This window comes from Homo sapiens, chromosome 10 (assembly GCF_000001405.40).
Source record: "Homo sapiens chromosome 10, GRCh38.p14 Primary Assembly".
Classification (NCBI taxonomy): Eukaryota; Metazoa; Chordata; class Mammalia; order Primates; family Hominidae; genus Homo; species Homo sapiens.
The window spans coordinates 14,166,920-14,181,960 of record NC_000010.11 but is presented as its reverse complement, the minus strand read 5'-3'; the positions used below and the strand labels follow the sequence as shown (position 1 = coordinate 14,181,960).

General features: G+C 42.6%; 1 protein-coding gene across 2 annotated transcripts in view, besides 5 other annotated features; it reads left to right on the top strand.

The window, feature by feature from the left end:
- Nucleotides 1–15,041, top strand: part of FRMD4A (FERM domain containing 4A) — a 687,219-nt gene that overhangs the window by 148,964 nt on the left and 523,214 nt on the right. The gene's annotated exons all lie outside the window — the stretch shown is intronic.
- Nucleotides 417–711: an enhancer, noted in NCBI's record as "tiled region #4256; K562 Activating DNase matched - State 5:Enh". NCBI's record gives its function as "activates a minimal TATA promoter and a strong SV40 promoter by Sharpr-MPRA in K562 cells {active_cell/tissue: K562}" and the evidence as "EXISTENCE:reporter gene assay evidence [ECO:0000049][PMID:27701403]".
- Nucleotides 4,493–4,654: a silencer, noted in NCBI's record as "fragment chr10:14219306-14219467 (GRCh37/hg19 assembly coordinates)". NCBI's record gives its function as "represses an EF-1alpha promoter that drives an FKBP-Casp9 reporter gene in an ReSE screen in phorbol 12-myristate 13-acetate-treated (for megakaryocytic differentiation) K562 erythroleukemia cells {active_cell/tissue: K562(+PMA)}" and the evidence as "EXISTENCE:reporter gene assay evidence [ECO:0000049][PMID:32094911]".
- Nucleotides 6,014–6,513: an enhancer, noted in NCBI's record as "H3K4me1 hESC enhancer chr10:14217447-14217946 (GRCh37/hg19 assembly coordinates)". NCBI's record gives its function as "activates a minimal SCP1, AML or CMV promoter by ChIP-STARR-seq in primed H9 embryonic stem cells {active_cell/tissue: H9 hESC(primed)}" and the evidence as "EXISTENCE:reporter gene assay evidence [ECO:0000049][PMID:30033119]".
- Nucleotides 13,556–14,055: an enhancer, noted in NCBI's record as "H3K27ac hESC enhancer chr10:14209905-14210404 (GRCh37/hg19 assembly coordinates)". NCBI's record gives its function as "activates a minimal SCP1, AML or CMV promoter by ChIP-STARR-seq in primed H9 embryonic stem cells {active_cell/tissue: H9 hESC(primed)}" and the evidence as "EXISTENCE:reporter gene assay evidence [ECO:0000049][PMID:30033119]".
- Nucleotides 14,056–14,557: an enhancer, noted in NCBI's record as "H3K27ac hESC enhancer chr10:14209403-14209904 (GRCh37/hg19 assembly coordinates)". NCBI's record gives its function as "activates a minimal SCP1, AML or CMV promoter by ChIP-STARR-seq in primed H9 embryonic stem cells {active_cell/tissue: H9 hESC(primed)}" and the evidence as "EXISTENCE:reporter gene assay evidence [ECO:0000049][PMID:30033119]".

Sequence of the window (15,041 nt, the reverse complement as noted above, 5' to 3'; positions counted from 1 at the left end):
CATGCACTTTGGGAGGCCGAGACGGGCAGATCACTCAAGTTCAGGAATTCAAGACCAGCCTGGTCAATATGGCAAAACCCCATCTCAACTAAAAGTACACAAATTAGCTGGGCATGTTGGTGCACATCTGTAGTCCCAGCTGCTGGGGAGGCTGAGGCAGGAGGATTGCTTGAGCTTAGGAAGCCGAGGTTGCAGTGAGCTGTGATTGTGCCCCTGCACTCCAGCCTGGACAACAGAGTGAGACCCTATCTCAAATAAAAAAAATTCATGGTAATCATTTCACAATGCGTACATATATCAGAACATAGTGTTTTATACCAGAAATATGTGCAATTTTTATTTGTCAAAAATTAAAATGTTTCCCTACATAATTTCTGTCGCACAATTCTTTAGTTTGGAGCTTGGAAATAACCCAACAAAAGCGGGAGGTAAAAATGCTACCCTGCATGCTAACTTTGCAGGAACATCCAACTGCTTCCCCTCTGTGACGACGGGAAGAAGGAGGCATTGCTTCCGCCCAGATGCCTGTCTCTCAGCTTTCTCCTTATCTGGGCTCCCAGAGGTCTTCTGAGCAAACACGGGGCAGCGATCTGGGGCTGCAGCAGCTGTCGGTTTTCTTCTCCCTCTTGACAAAAGTACTTAAACCACAAACCTTAAGGAAAAAAACAAAAAAAAGAAAAAAGTGGAAATACCTCTTTTCAAACACGGGAAAATAATGTCACTCTGCTCTTTAGATGTTTTCATAAAACATCGGGGCAGGTAGAGAACCATTTCCAGCTGAAGTGTTTATGATAATGAAGAAAAGCAGTTTTATTTTTCCCACTGTGAGACACTTTTTCGGAAAGGCAAGAACTGCTGAAGGGAAAAGTCTCCAAGGGCTAGATTCCAATTAACTTCTGTACCGATTGCTGATAACTTTAGGCAATTGCTGTTCTTTAGAAAATGGGGCAGAGTCTAAAAGATCATAAAGACGAGATGACTGATCAAGGCATAGAACCTCATACCGTGTTTTCCTCAGTGTGCCACAATTTTAAGGAATTGTAAATAAAATACAGTAGATCCTATACTTGACATTCAATAACATAGAAGTGCCGGAATGTGTGTCTTGGAGCTTAGACATTGATCTGGGGTCTGGAAAATAGTAATCATACAACCCATCACTGCGCATGGGTGAGCCACAGAAATGTGACAGCATTGGAAGAACTTGAAATTTTTGGAGTGAGAAAACCTGCGTTTGGAGTTCTAGTCAGCTCTGCTCCACAGTTTAGGAACTCTCATCTTGGATTAGGAATCGTATCCATTGGCTGCATAACAAATGCAATGCCTGGTGCCACACAGTAATAGGCATTGGTTTTTCAGAAGACTGTAGAGTTTTGCTGATGTAGGCTGGGCTCAGCTGATCTTGGCTAGTCTCACTCATTTGTGATTCTCTGGCTTGCTCGTAAGTCTGTAATGGAGGTTGGGTCTTCTGTTATCCTCCCGTTGGAATCAGCAGACTAGCGTGGGTGTATCTTTCCCATGCGCATTTCAAAATTCTGCTTGTACCGCCTTTGCTAGCCTTCTATCCATACTTGGGGAAAAAGAGAGGGTGGCAAAGTCACACAGCAAATTGCATGGATAACAAAATGTATGAATAATCAGGACCAAATGATGCTATCTACTACCATACTTAATGCTCTCAATCTCAGGTCATCATATGTTAAATGGGAATAATAATACACCTGTTAAAATTAAGTGAGATGACACTGAAGAGTATCTAGCTCAAGCCCTGGAACAAAGCTGATGCTCAATAAATATTACTCTTCTATTCACCTCTCCAATCTTATAAAATGAAAATGAATACCTGCCACATCTCATGGGATCATTGTGAGGTTTGTTTTTTGTTTGTTTGTTTTTTGGTTTTGTTTTTGTTTTGCTTTGTTTTTTTGATGGATTCTTGCTCTCTGTAGCCCAGGCTGGAGTGCAGTGGCACAATCTCAGCTCACCGCAACCTCCGCCTCCTGGATTCAAGCGATTCTCCTGCATCAGCCTCCTGAGTAGCTGGGACTATAGATGTGCACCACCATACCCAGCTAATTTGTATATTTTTAGTTGAGATGGGGTTTTGTCATATTGATCAGGCTGATCTTGAATTCCTGAACTCAAGTGATCTGCCTGCCTCGGCCTCCCAAAACGCTGGGATTACAGGCGTGAGCCACCGCGCCCGGCCCATTCTGAGGTTTTTAAAAAGGCAAACACATGTAAAAACAATTTGAAAGAATGTTAATCGCTATATAATTTTTGTATCGCAAGAACTTGTAGAATGTTTTCTCTTACCTAGACATGAATAAATTTAAGCACTTAATATTAAATCACAATTTTTATTGAGCACTTTAGTACATAGCAGGTGAAAATTTTCTCTGTGCTAGGTTCGGATATTTATATTATAAATGAAAGCAAATATGTGTGGCTGAGGAGGGTTGAGGCAGAGAGAAAAAGGGGGAAGGAGATTTGTCATGTTAGTTACATAACTCCTTCAGTGTTACCCAAGATATCTGGAACTGATCCAGGAAGAAGACCTTTTCTATCCATTATCATCCCAAAGCCTACAATTTGATGAAGATGTTTCTAAATAGTAAAGAGTGGTGAGCAGGTCACAGAGGGTAAAGCCTTCACGGTGCTTAGGTCACAATCTTCTCACCTTAATAAATCATCAACTCTTTATGAAGCAGGCAGTGCAATCCCAGATAATAAAACCTAATTGTTTGGCTAGCTATGATCCCCAGAGACTCTAAGGGGCCTAAATAAATTAACCTCAAAAATGGCAAAGATGTGGGGAAGAAAGGGTCAGTGTTTAAGCCCAAGAGATGGAAAACCTGAGCCTCCAACCATGGCCTACCCAACAGCCTTTGTGACGTTTACAAGTGCTCCTAGTCTAGAGAAGTTTATTATAAAGTTATTATTTCCCTCTCTTTTTTGACATCAAAATATGAAAGAAGGGTGGCTCAAAGGGCAAGGGCATTTGCTAAGAGAGGTTCCTTGGTGTGGGGAGTTTTCCTCTATAGGTGAGAAGTCCACCTACCACAAAGTAGAAATTCCTTAAGTCAGATTTCAGAGAAAACTCCCTTTCTCTTGTGGTGTAAACTTAATTAATATTTCACCAGTGTCTACATATTTGATATTTATTGACTTTTTTTTTTCTAAGTTTGGGTTAACCCCAGATGGTAAATTGCAAGCAGAGAGTGCCCTAATCCAAAGAAATCTGTGAGGCAAAAATGCAAATCGTTCTTGCTTCTGGATACTTTGGTAACATTGATCAATGTCAAGGGTGTTAGGGTGCCTAATGATCTGACAATTATTCTTCACGGACATTTATTGCCCAGGTTAAAATATTTTCTAATCCCCACCACCCTCTCTCTCTTCCTGCCCCCTTCACCCTGCAACAATTCAACCACTTCACACAAGACATAAAAGGTGCAGTCATCAGTATTTAAAGGACTTGGAAATCATAAGTGATAAATGGACTAATGTGCTCCATTTTGTAAATGTTTATCTTTGATAAACACAAGACTTTGTGCTTTTAAGTGTCTAACACAGAACCTGGCTTGAAGTGGATGTTCAATGAATATTGGTTTCCTGAATACATAAGTGAACGAGGTACTCAATGTAATAGCCTAATAGTCTAAAATAAAATACTTTCAAATGCTTACTTTGCAACCCCTGACTAATAAAGAACAGAAATTTAAAATGTACTTTTAAGTCTTTGTATGTCTTATGTTGGTGGGGATTATTTTTAATGAAGTAACACAAGGTGGAAATAGTACACCAGCAGTGGCTTCATTGAACTGAATGCTGTGTGGGTGAATTACTTAGCTGAAGCTTCTGCAGTATAGCAGTAAGAATAGTACTTCCCTCGTAGGGCAGGGGGTAAGGGAATTGTGTGAACTACTGCATGAAATCACTTAGCCCAGTGCCTGCCACCAGGTAAGCATTCAACAGCTATTGCCATTCTCATCTTTACCATCAACAGCAGCATCATCTCAGGAGCTAATTGATAGGTTCCAAGTCCTATTGATTCCAGAGGTTTCGTCAAGGACCTCTCAGACCATTATAAAAATATGGTGAACAACCCCAGGCTCCAGGGGCTAAATGGCTGGTGTGTAAACAACCAGAAAAGTTCTACCCTCCCTAAGTGGTGCACTTATACAGAATATTCCAAATTCCTTCCGAAAGTCCTTTCCTTTGACTCAGGAAAGCTATTCTGGTTCCAAAATCTATGGTTGGAGTTTTTCAGAAAACAACCGGCCTTAAACATGCAATCAGTCGAATTTTGTTTAACCTTGGCATAGTCCCCCCTCTGTTCTATCTACTTTAAACAAACCTTTAGGGAGATTGAGAGCCAGAGAGAGTACAGAGGGCCAGGAGGCAGCGGGGCAGGTAATCAATTGTACCAGAGATATATTTTTTTTAATATCAAGGATAAAACTCTTGAGAAGGGGACATGATTGGGGCCAGGCACAGTGGCTGACACCTATAATCCCAGCACTTTGGGAGGCCAAGGTTGGTGGATAATTTGTGGCCAGGTGTTCAAGACCAGCCCCGCCAACATAGCGAAACCCCATCTCTACTGAAAATACAAAAAAAATTAGCTGGGCATGGTGGAGGCTGAGGCACGGGAATCACTTGAATCCAGGAGGTAGAGATTGCAGTGAGCCAAGATCATGCCACTGCACTCCAGCCCGGGCAACAGAGCGATACTTTGTCTCAAAAAAAACAAAAACAAAAACAAACAAAAAGAAGGGTACATGATTGGAAATTCTGATGAGAGGGGTTTCTGAGTTTAGAAAGGGCACAAACAGTGCAAACCTGTTCATGAACCTTTACATGTCATGAACAGGGCAGAATGCTTCAGGAAAGAATTGTCGAAAGTAAAAAAGCAAATAATGGATGCAGCTTATTCTAGTTATTGAAGAATCCAAAGGGATGGAAGCTAAATGTAGCACATGGCATGGGCGATGTCTCAACAGTGAGTGGGATAACAAGTCGTTTTAATGGTTCAGGGCCAATAACCGGGGAGGATGAGGAACGGCATCTCTGTTTTGAGTAAACAAGAGTGATTTCCTTCCCTGACACTGAAAAATGAAACCTTTGGGGAGATAGAGGAAGGGTCTGGGGAAGAGGACAGAGAATAGAATTAAAGATGGAAGTAAGTCTGGGTGCAGTGGCTCATGCCTGTAATCCCATCACTTTGGGAGGCCGAGGGGGTGGATCGTGAGGTCAGGAGATTGAGACCATCCTGGCCAACATGGTGAAACGCCATCTCTACTAAAAATACAAAAATTAGCTGGGAGTGGTGGTGCGTGCCTATAATCCCAGCTACTCGGGAGGCTGAGGCAGAAGAATCACATGAACCTGGGAGGCGGAGATAGCAGTGAGCTGAGATTGCGCCATTGCACTCCAGCCTGGCCAACAGAGGGAGACTCCGTCTCAAAAAAAAAAAAAAAAAAAAAAAAAAGATGGAGGTGAAGGAATGAGATTCTCGTGGAGACATTTTGGTTTTTTATTTCCTAGGAGAAAGTTGATCATGGGTGTACAGTTAGGAGAAGTGTCACAAAGAGACTGGCACTAAACTGGAAATGGAAGTCACATCAGAAGGTTTGCAATCCCACAGAGAAACCCAAAAACATGGGGAGAGGTTGGTATGAATAATGCAATGATAGATGGAAGGGCTTGATGAGTTGGTTGAGTTTTGTATCAAACCTGCTATGAAATATAGGGCCTTGGAACAAGGACTTTGTCTACCCTATTCTCCACTGTATCATCAGAACAAGAACAGCTTCCAGCACATACTAGGTGCCTTACAACTATTTGTTGAATGACTACATGAATAGAAGAAAATATTAGGGATCCCTAAACACTACAATACAAAATAAGAAGTATTGTTTAAGTCAATACCCAAGAAATAAGGTCCAGAGTCCCCCAGAAATGGCAATAATCTTTTATATAAGGACAGCGAGTTGCACTCAATATGTTGGGTCTACAGATTTGTCAGGATGCTAAGACTCTGGTCAAAGGATGTACATGTCTGGTTAAGTGAGAATGAGGTTGCAGCCTGCAACTAAGGTGACGCAGAGAAAGAGTTAAGAATAGAAAATTGGACCCTGAGCAGCGGCTCACATCTGTAATCCCAACACTTTGAGAGGCTGAGGCGGAAGGATCTCTTGAGGCCAGGAGTTTGAGACCAGCCTGGGAAACATAGCAAGACCCTGTCTCCATAAAAAAATTAAAAATTAGTTGGGCATGGTGGTGCATGCCTACAGTCACAGATATTCAGGAGGCTGAGGCAGGAGGATCTCTTGAACCCAGTAGTTCAAGGCTGCAGTGAGCCATCATCATTGCACCACTGTACTGCAGCCTGAGCAACAGACAGACACCCTGTAAAAAAAAAAAAAAAAAAAAGGAAGCAAACTGGAGACTACGAAGGAGGTGATCAAGAGGTGATAGAGTTGGTGTAGATACTGAAGTTCTATTGGAATGCTGATGTGTGAACGGGAGGAGAAGAAGGATGTTAATTAGGGGTGAAAAGCATCAATGAAGGAAGAGGCAGGGGCCTGGGACCAGCCTGTGATTCCATCTGGAGGACAGAGTGGCTCGCCCTATCTTGGGGATGTCTTGTGAGTACAAGAATCACAGATGGAAAGAAGGGCAAGGGACAGGGGCATCTTCCTTAAATCACATTGATAGGTTCATGTATGGTGCACATGTGTCACATATATGATGCAAAAGGGGTCCTGGCCCCTTGGTGATGGCATAGATGTGTGTAGCCACATTTAAGGAGTCACCAGTTGAAGTAGAGATGTTGAATTATTCTCACAGAGAAAATTCCTCAAGCATAAAGAAGTTCAGAAAAATCTCATCTTTTCAACTGCATTATGCTCTGACCTAGGTCTTTGCCATTTTTCTTTCATTGTGTATTTTTTTCCAAGTGACCAGCAATGCTGAATGAAACAGTCAATCCTGATTTATTTGGACTCCTGGACAGTGTGCCCGTACGCGCGCGTCCACACACACACACACACACACACACACACACACACACACAGACACACACACACTTTTTTTTTTAATACTCAACTATTCAGGATCAGAGTCCATAAATCTGTTTTTGAAACTTTCTCTAAAAAGAGGCTACAGTTATGTGCCTCTAAACATCTGGCCAAACTGCAGAAGAACCCAGTTAACTATCCAGGTGTGAAATTCACAGTGGGCTGAACATGGGTATTTAGAAGTACTCCACGCAGTGGGATTTCTTTTTCAGCTTTCTGTACACAGACCAGAAAAGCAGCTCAGTAATGGTGTCAACTAGATCCATTCCTGTGGGAGTCCCACTTCTTAAGAGAGGAAGGAATGATGAACGAATGAATGAATGAATGAATGAATGAATGAACGAACAAACGCAACAGTGCTCTCAGCTCTGGAGAGAACAAGCTACAGAGCCCAAAGCGGCTGGATGCTCCGGCTCAGCCCCCCTCGCCTCCTGCCCTGGATGAGCTGCCCTGTGGGTTGTTACAGATCACTGTTCTTGGTTCAAATGCGTTACCTAAGACAGAGATCATTTGTCAAGTGAGCAGGGTACACAGAGAGCTGTAGGCAGATTATGGAAAGAGAGAGGGAGGAGAGAGAGGGAGGAGAGAGAGCGCGGGAGAGGGAGAAAGAGAGAGGGGACCAGGGCGAGGAGAGGAGCAGGCTTCTCCAGGAACGGCGCTTTGCAGGCGCTGGGGATTCAAGTTAGACCGGGTGGCGGTGCAGAGGCGCCACCCGGGAGAGGGGAGCCACCACGGCTCCCGACATGGCTCTTTTCATGTGGGATGCTTAAGCACGGCACACAGAGAGAGTAACTTGCAGGAGACAGAAACTGGCATGAGGATTCTGCCACCATGGAAGGGCTCCTGTCTCCGATGAGGACGAAGGTAAGGGGAGTGGATCTGGATTTCTTTTCCTTCTGCTTGGAGGGACAGAAAAGGCTCTGTGCATGGGAGGAGGCTCACGGAGCTTTTGTCTCATTTCAGAACTAGGCTGGCGATTGCAACTGGATCTCTCAAAGAATAGGCTTGCCTGCACGGCAGCGCGATCTGAGGGGAAGGGGAGAGCAGAGAGGGGAGCGAGCCATCTGTCAGCGTGGACAATGGGAACCTCAGTAAATGAGTTCGCCTCTCGGTTGATTAGACAGCCATATTTTAGCAGGATTTCCAGTCACTCTTGCTTTGGGGCCGTGCAGCCCTCGGAGCTGTTCGTTTGCAGGAAGTACCAATTTCTCAGATCGTATTGCTGTTTAGCAGGAGGAGTAACACGTTTAAGGCAAAGAGTGTGCCCAGCTCCCACTTGAAATAGCCTCTTTCCTCTTCCTCTTCCTCCTCCTCTTCTTCAGAGCAGGAGGACCAGGGAATCCTCTCTGTAGAAAGTAGGTTAATGCATTCTGGAGGCCAGTGTGTTCTCGGAAAAATAGCAGACCTGCAGAAAAGATTTCAGAGCACTGCTCTAGCCTGACATCTTGAACTTGGTCCTGTAACATTTAGAAATGCTCACGGGGAACTGGTTTTGGTCTCCTGAAGACTCTAAGCGCTTGTTCTTCTTGGCTGGAGTTTGCTTTTTCACTTTCAAGAGACGCTTTGAACGTGGGGTTTTCCATTATAAGCTCAGACGATGAAGGTGTTATTTGATATCTGCTATATTTACCTATAACTCTAAATGGATAGATCCAAAGTTTTCAATAATGCTAGAAATATTACTTTTCTTAACCAGAAATTTCAAAACAAATCAAGGGGCAAATAGATCTCTAAACACACAGCAGAGTTAAAGTCAATAGGACAAAGCTTTGATTTACCTCATCTCTTTGATGCCCTGTGTAATGATTTGGACACAAATAGACTCTTGTCATTGAACATTTTTTTTTCCTGCTGGTTAATGAGCCTGACCATGATATTTTCAGAGAATGTTAGAAGTAGGTCTTGTGCAGGAAGACACCCCATCCTTTGCGAGAATTTCCCATCTCTGTTATGTTCACCCATGTCTGAGAGTCATTCATTAGAAGGATAGCCTCAAGTGAGAGTTTGTTACAAAGGCTCTAACTCCAGCCCTTCTGCGGGCTGGCAGATCTTTGAGATCCCCTTGGTGACCCACTTGTTCTCACTGGGCATGTAGCTGGAATCCTGTTGCTTACAGGCAGTACACTTCAATCCAAGGTGCTGTTTCATGATCCCCTACCACAGCAAAGAAAATGGCAAATGACACTGGCATCCTAGCTCACTTGATTGACAGGATGAGGTTTGAATGCTTTGGGGAATGGCATCGTAATCTGTTCATTTGACCAGGTTTTCAAATTGCAAACTATCGCAGTATTGTGCAGTCTCTGGCGCCTAACAGATCTGTGGATCCGAGCTCCTAACCTCACGCGAGTACAACTCTCGTAGACTTCGAAGGGAGTTTCCTATGCAAATAATCAGGACCCAGGCTCTGCGTAAATCACACCATGAGCCGATTAAAATGGCATGCTATAGTCGGGGGAGAAATGGATGTCAGTGAGTCAGGCTGCTCACATATTATATTTATCAGTATCACTCACATCATGGCTTGTTCCTTGATCATCATATTGTCTAATAAACATGGAAACTGTGGGGTTCGGGTCCTACCAAAGTTTAAACATAAAATCTCTACATAGCAAATAGATTCTCATTCAAACCCTTCAGTTTTTAGGTTTCAAGGGATTTGTGTATGTGTATGTGTTTAAATTGCTTCTGTGAATTCTTTTTTAGTCTTTTTATTTCTAATGCTGGAAATGGATATTTCCATATTGAAAATTCAAACTGCATTTGAATTCAGTGACCTACAATATCATCATGACTGAGGGAACAAGACCTGACTGGGCAAGAGGAGAATCCCATTGGCAAGGCTTGGTTTTAAATCCTAAGTTGCCCTGTCCAAATGTTGTTGAAATTACCCAGCGATATTTTTAATTTATCCGAAGAGAAGACATATCCGTGACAAGGTGGTTGCCATACTTAAACTTTGATCACATTATGCCTCCTTAAGTCTGTTCTGAAATATTTTCTCCCTTTGGTGAGGATTTAGCTTGAAGTTTCTGATTTCCTGGTATGATGATAGGTCAGACAAAGGAAGCCTCCTAGAGCTAAATTTTGGCATGTTATGGTTATTCAATAACTTATGGACAGTTTAAAGCAAGCATTGAGGTAAATTGGACATCATGCAATAATTTCATTACACCATGTAATGGACTTAACCAGTCTAAATCATGGGTGCTTAATGCATTTTTATCTTGGGATTTGCATAATTGGCACATAAATATGCATGAGATTAACTGGAAATGGCAAAACAGGGTGAGAAACACAGTTCATGAGCATTGAAATTAAGGCAGTTGCAGAGAGGGCACCTGAACATACTCTGTCTCCTGGGTGGGCGGCCACACTTGACATACCTAGAAACAGACAGGGTGGCAGCTGGCCTCCCCTAATCACAGTTAGTGCATTGTCAGTGATACACAGCCATTGCACAGCTTTGGCTTTTGGCTGGATTCACTTGGGCACACTGCTTATTCTTCCTTTTATATATAATGCAATCTAAAGGAGTCTCTAGGCTGATGGATATATTTCTAACTGGCCTTCTGGCAGGCCCTGACACAGGTCTCAGGATTTCAACCATAGCAAATGATGTTTGCAGAGGCAGGGGTGAAAAAAGCAAGAAAAAAAGAGAGAGAGAGAAGGTGATTGAGTGGTTTCTTCTATGAGAGTAAAGGAAATCATTTTATAATCAATCATGTCCGTGAATTTTTTTAATGTGTCCTTTTAGTTAGATTTTTAATCCTCCAAACTTCATAATTCCATCTAATCTTCTGAGCCCTGCTTCTAGTGAATGAGGCTCGCAAAAAACAAACAAATAAACAAAAAAAAAAACTCCCCTCGTATTCAGCGTCTTGTGATTCATGGTGGCTGCAAAATTTGCAGGGAGCACTTTGGTAAGGCCACATGAAATCAGGCCAAGTCTTTACTTTTCATGACTGTAAGGAGTGTAATCTGAAGAAACTGTGGCATCAAAAGAAGGTGGAGAGGAAGGGAGGGGAAGAAAAGAGGAGAGGAGAGGACGGGGAGAAGAGGCCAGGGAAGAGAGGTAGGGGAGTGGAAGGGAGGGAAGATGGCTTGATTGGAGTTCTTTTCTTAAATATCCAAATAAGATTATAGCTATGTTTTTACCAAATGTTTGTGCGGTAAATAGAGAGTGGATGGAAATTAACCCTAGAAAGGATAGTTGTAACTTTTAAAAAGTTGATTAACTATTTCGTGTGCTAATTTGAGTTTTTCTGAATACTCCAATATGGTTTCCTTTAACACCTGCTCTCAGTTTACAATCACCTAACTTCCCAGCGTTGGTGTCTTTTTCTCTGTCTGACCCTGTCTTATTTCTCCTACAAAGACATATCCTGCGCTGTACTTCAGATACTTTTTTCGAGGAACATTTGTGATTTGTGGCATAAAGTAACTGTCTAAAGGAAATCTTCTGAGAGGATCTGGTCATTTTATGAAAGGGGCAATTAAGGGGAAATGGAAGCAGATCTTTTAAAGAAGGAGCATTTGAAATTAGCCCAGGAATCATGTCCGGCGAGTCCTGCTCTTTTGTACCTGGGCATAATAGTCAGCCACACAGAGCTAGAGTTAGTTCAAGAATTGTCTTTCCTGATCATGCTATATTTTTGGAAACACGTTAGATACAGAGGTAAGATGTCAAAATTCTGAAATACACACAATATAGGATCAAAAGGAAGAATAAAATATGTATAGTCAAAGCTCTATGGCTCCTTAGGGCAATTAGTATAGAGTATGTGAAACTCTTAAAGTCACTTAGAATTATTCGACATCTGCTTGAAACTTTGCCAGGATTCCATGGAGAATAGTGCCTGGAATGATCCACTGTGTTCCACCTTGCTTGTACATGAATTCAGATCAAGCACTGGAATTTCTCATGTAAAGAACTCTGTGAACCAGAAATCACTAAGGGTTAAGGAATGGTTAGCCTGAGTGGGATGACTGTGGAAGGCTTGACAATTACTTGCAAATACACTAAATATCACACACATGATTATGCCCAAGCCTATGACAGCCTATACTTTATCTTAATGGAGACTTGAATAAGAGGAGATTTGTTGGAGCTGAAGAATGACAGGTTTAGATTAAATTCAAGGAAATGTTTGCTGATATCAAAATGTTTTCCTAAGAAAGTGTGAGACAGTTTCTAATCTGAAGGGGCCTCTGAGATAGTGTTCCAAGAAAGGGCCACATACACAAAGTGACCCCCAAATACAGGAGGAGACAAGAAACCAAAGAACAAGGACAAAATCCAGTTTTTTTGGTAAAGGGTGATTTATCTGGGGAACTTACGGATGGAAGCATGGTCTTTGGCAGCAGAAAGACAGGGAGATCTCCATAATGTTATGTTACCCCCAGACCCAGGGCTTATCCACCATAGGAAAAGGGTGTGTGTGCTCTGGGCGGGACAACTAAAAGCAATCCTACAGAATAGGCAAGAATGCTATGCGTGTCACAGCCTATAATTTGTGTGATAACATCAAGATTGACATGTTCTTACACTAGGGATGGTAAATAAAGTAGGAACCAGGAGGCATTCACGGAATTGGGGCTAATCAGAAGTCGAAGTGGCAGATTAGCATCCAAGATGGAGTCACTTCATCTCGGAGTCACTCCTCAAATAGGCAAGGAATAATCTTACCTGAAAAGGGATTCTTCCACCTGAGAACCCAGGAGGAGCTGATGCAGACATTGTATATTTTTATGTTTAATTTTTCCATAAAGCCAATAAAACCAGAAATAGGTTTGAGTATGATGTACACATCAGATTCTCTTACAAAGAGCCACTATGATGCATTTATTAAACTACTGACCTCAGTTGGGTGCAAACAGGAAAAAACTTTATTCTTTTTCAGAACAACCCCCCTTCAAGGCATCTGTGAATTACGGGAAGACTGTTGAGGGCTACAGGACAGTTTATTTAGTTAATGAAAAGGAAATGTGAGAGGCACCATGGCTTATCCCCAGACAGACTACCTGCATTCAGATTCTAGCTCTGATACTTACTAGGGTGTACCTTTTTTGAGCCTCAGTTTTTTTCTGTATAACATGTATGCAGTAATAGGACTTATAGGTCATTTTGAGAAGTTAATACATTCATGTCTGACAGGTCTTGGCACGTCATAATAAATGTTAGCTATTACTAGTATGAATGTGTAAACAAATATGTGAATGAATATGTGAAGAAGTGCAAATCTCATGACCAATGCCTGGAATAAATTGTCATTGCCATGAATACAAGTGGGAATAGCAGATGACCTATCTTCTGGGTGATGCTTGCAAGATTCCTGGGAGGTCACAGTGCAAAACCCCTGTCAAGTGTGCTCAAAGAGGTCAGAGCGAAACAGATTCCTTTGAAGAGTAAATCAACTCTCATGACAATAAAGGCTTTCATGACAAATAATTTTGACAGGTGAATTGTTTAGAAGAAGAGACTGTGGATTCAGCAAATCCAAAAGGTATCCTGTCAATTAGAGAATAACAACTTTTCTTTCTTCCATGCTTCAGCTCTTACGAGGTTGGACACAGATGATCTCATGTGATCTTTATAGTAATTACAACCCAGAAATGAGCAAGCTGTGAATTAACCACTTCCACCCCAGAACCGGTTGTTAGTCATTTACCAGCACACCACTGCCTGGGACCCTCATGAGAAAGTCCAAGCGTCTCCTCTGGACTTCTAGGTTTTTCATGAGCTAGCCCTCACCCACCCATTCTGCCTCGTCTCTCTTCTGCATTAGAAGTTCAGGCTTCAGCTAGCCTTCCAATCACCTGAGATTGTGTTTAAAAGTGAAGAGTCTTGGTCCTCTCTTCCAGAAATCCCGACTCACTGAATCCAAGAACCATGCATTTGTGCCAAAAGGCTGGAGGACTCTGATGCAGGTGATCCTCCCACCACGTGTTGCAGAAACACTGCGTCTACCCTCTGTCTATCCACGGGGATGCCCTATAGCTCCCTGAGCCTGGCGTACTTCACACCTTCCAAATCTTACAGCGCGCTCTCCTCTCTGTGGGCATATCCTTTTCCATCCTGCCCTGTCTGTCTACCCTGCTGACTCTAAGGCCACCTTCATGTGGCAGCATGGATGCCACATCCTCTGGGAAATCTCTGAAGCCCCAGGATGGGGCTAGGTGTCCATCACATGCTCTGCCTACGTTGTTCCAAGCCTCCCTCACACTCTAAGCCCCCACGTATTTATCCATTGCCTTTTGCAATGGACTGTGAGCCTCTCCACTATATCGTGTTCTTATTTCTTCCTTTTCCTTTTTTTTTTTTTTTTTTTTTTTTTGAGAGACGGAGTCTTGCTCTGTCACCCAGGCTGGAATGCAGTGGCATGATCTCAGCTCACTGCAACTTCTGCCTCCTGACCTGAGTTCAAGCAATTCTTCAACCTCAGCCTCATGCATAGCTGGGATTATAAGTGTGCACCACCACACCCGGCTAATTTTTGCACTTTTAGTAGAGACAGGGTTTCCCCATGTTGGCCAGGCTGGTCTTGATCTCCCGACCTCAAGTGATCTGCCCACCTCACCCTCCCAAACTGCTGGGATTACAAGTGTGAGCCACTGTGCCTGGCCCTGTTCTTATGTCTTTATTTAACTTTATTGGCATATATATGACGTACTTATTTTCTGCGGAGAAATGATAATTTCATACTTTCATATAGTCAAATCAGTGTCACTGGGATATCCATCACCTTAAATACTTCTCTTTTTTTGAGCTCGGAACATTCTAATTATTCTCTTCTGGCTATTTTGGAATAGACTATCGATTCATGTTAACTATCATCACCCTGTTGATGTGTCAGACACCAGGGTTTATTTCTTCTAAGTGTGTATTTATCCCATTGTATGTTGTTCATCCTTTTAAGCCTAGTACATAGCATGGTACAGAAATATAGGGCCTTC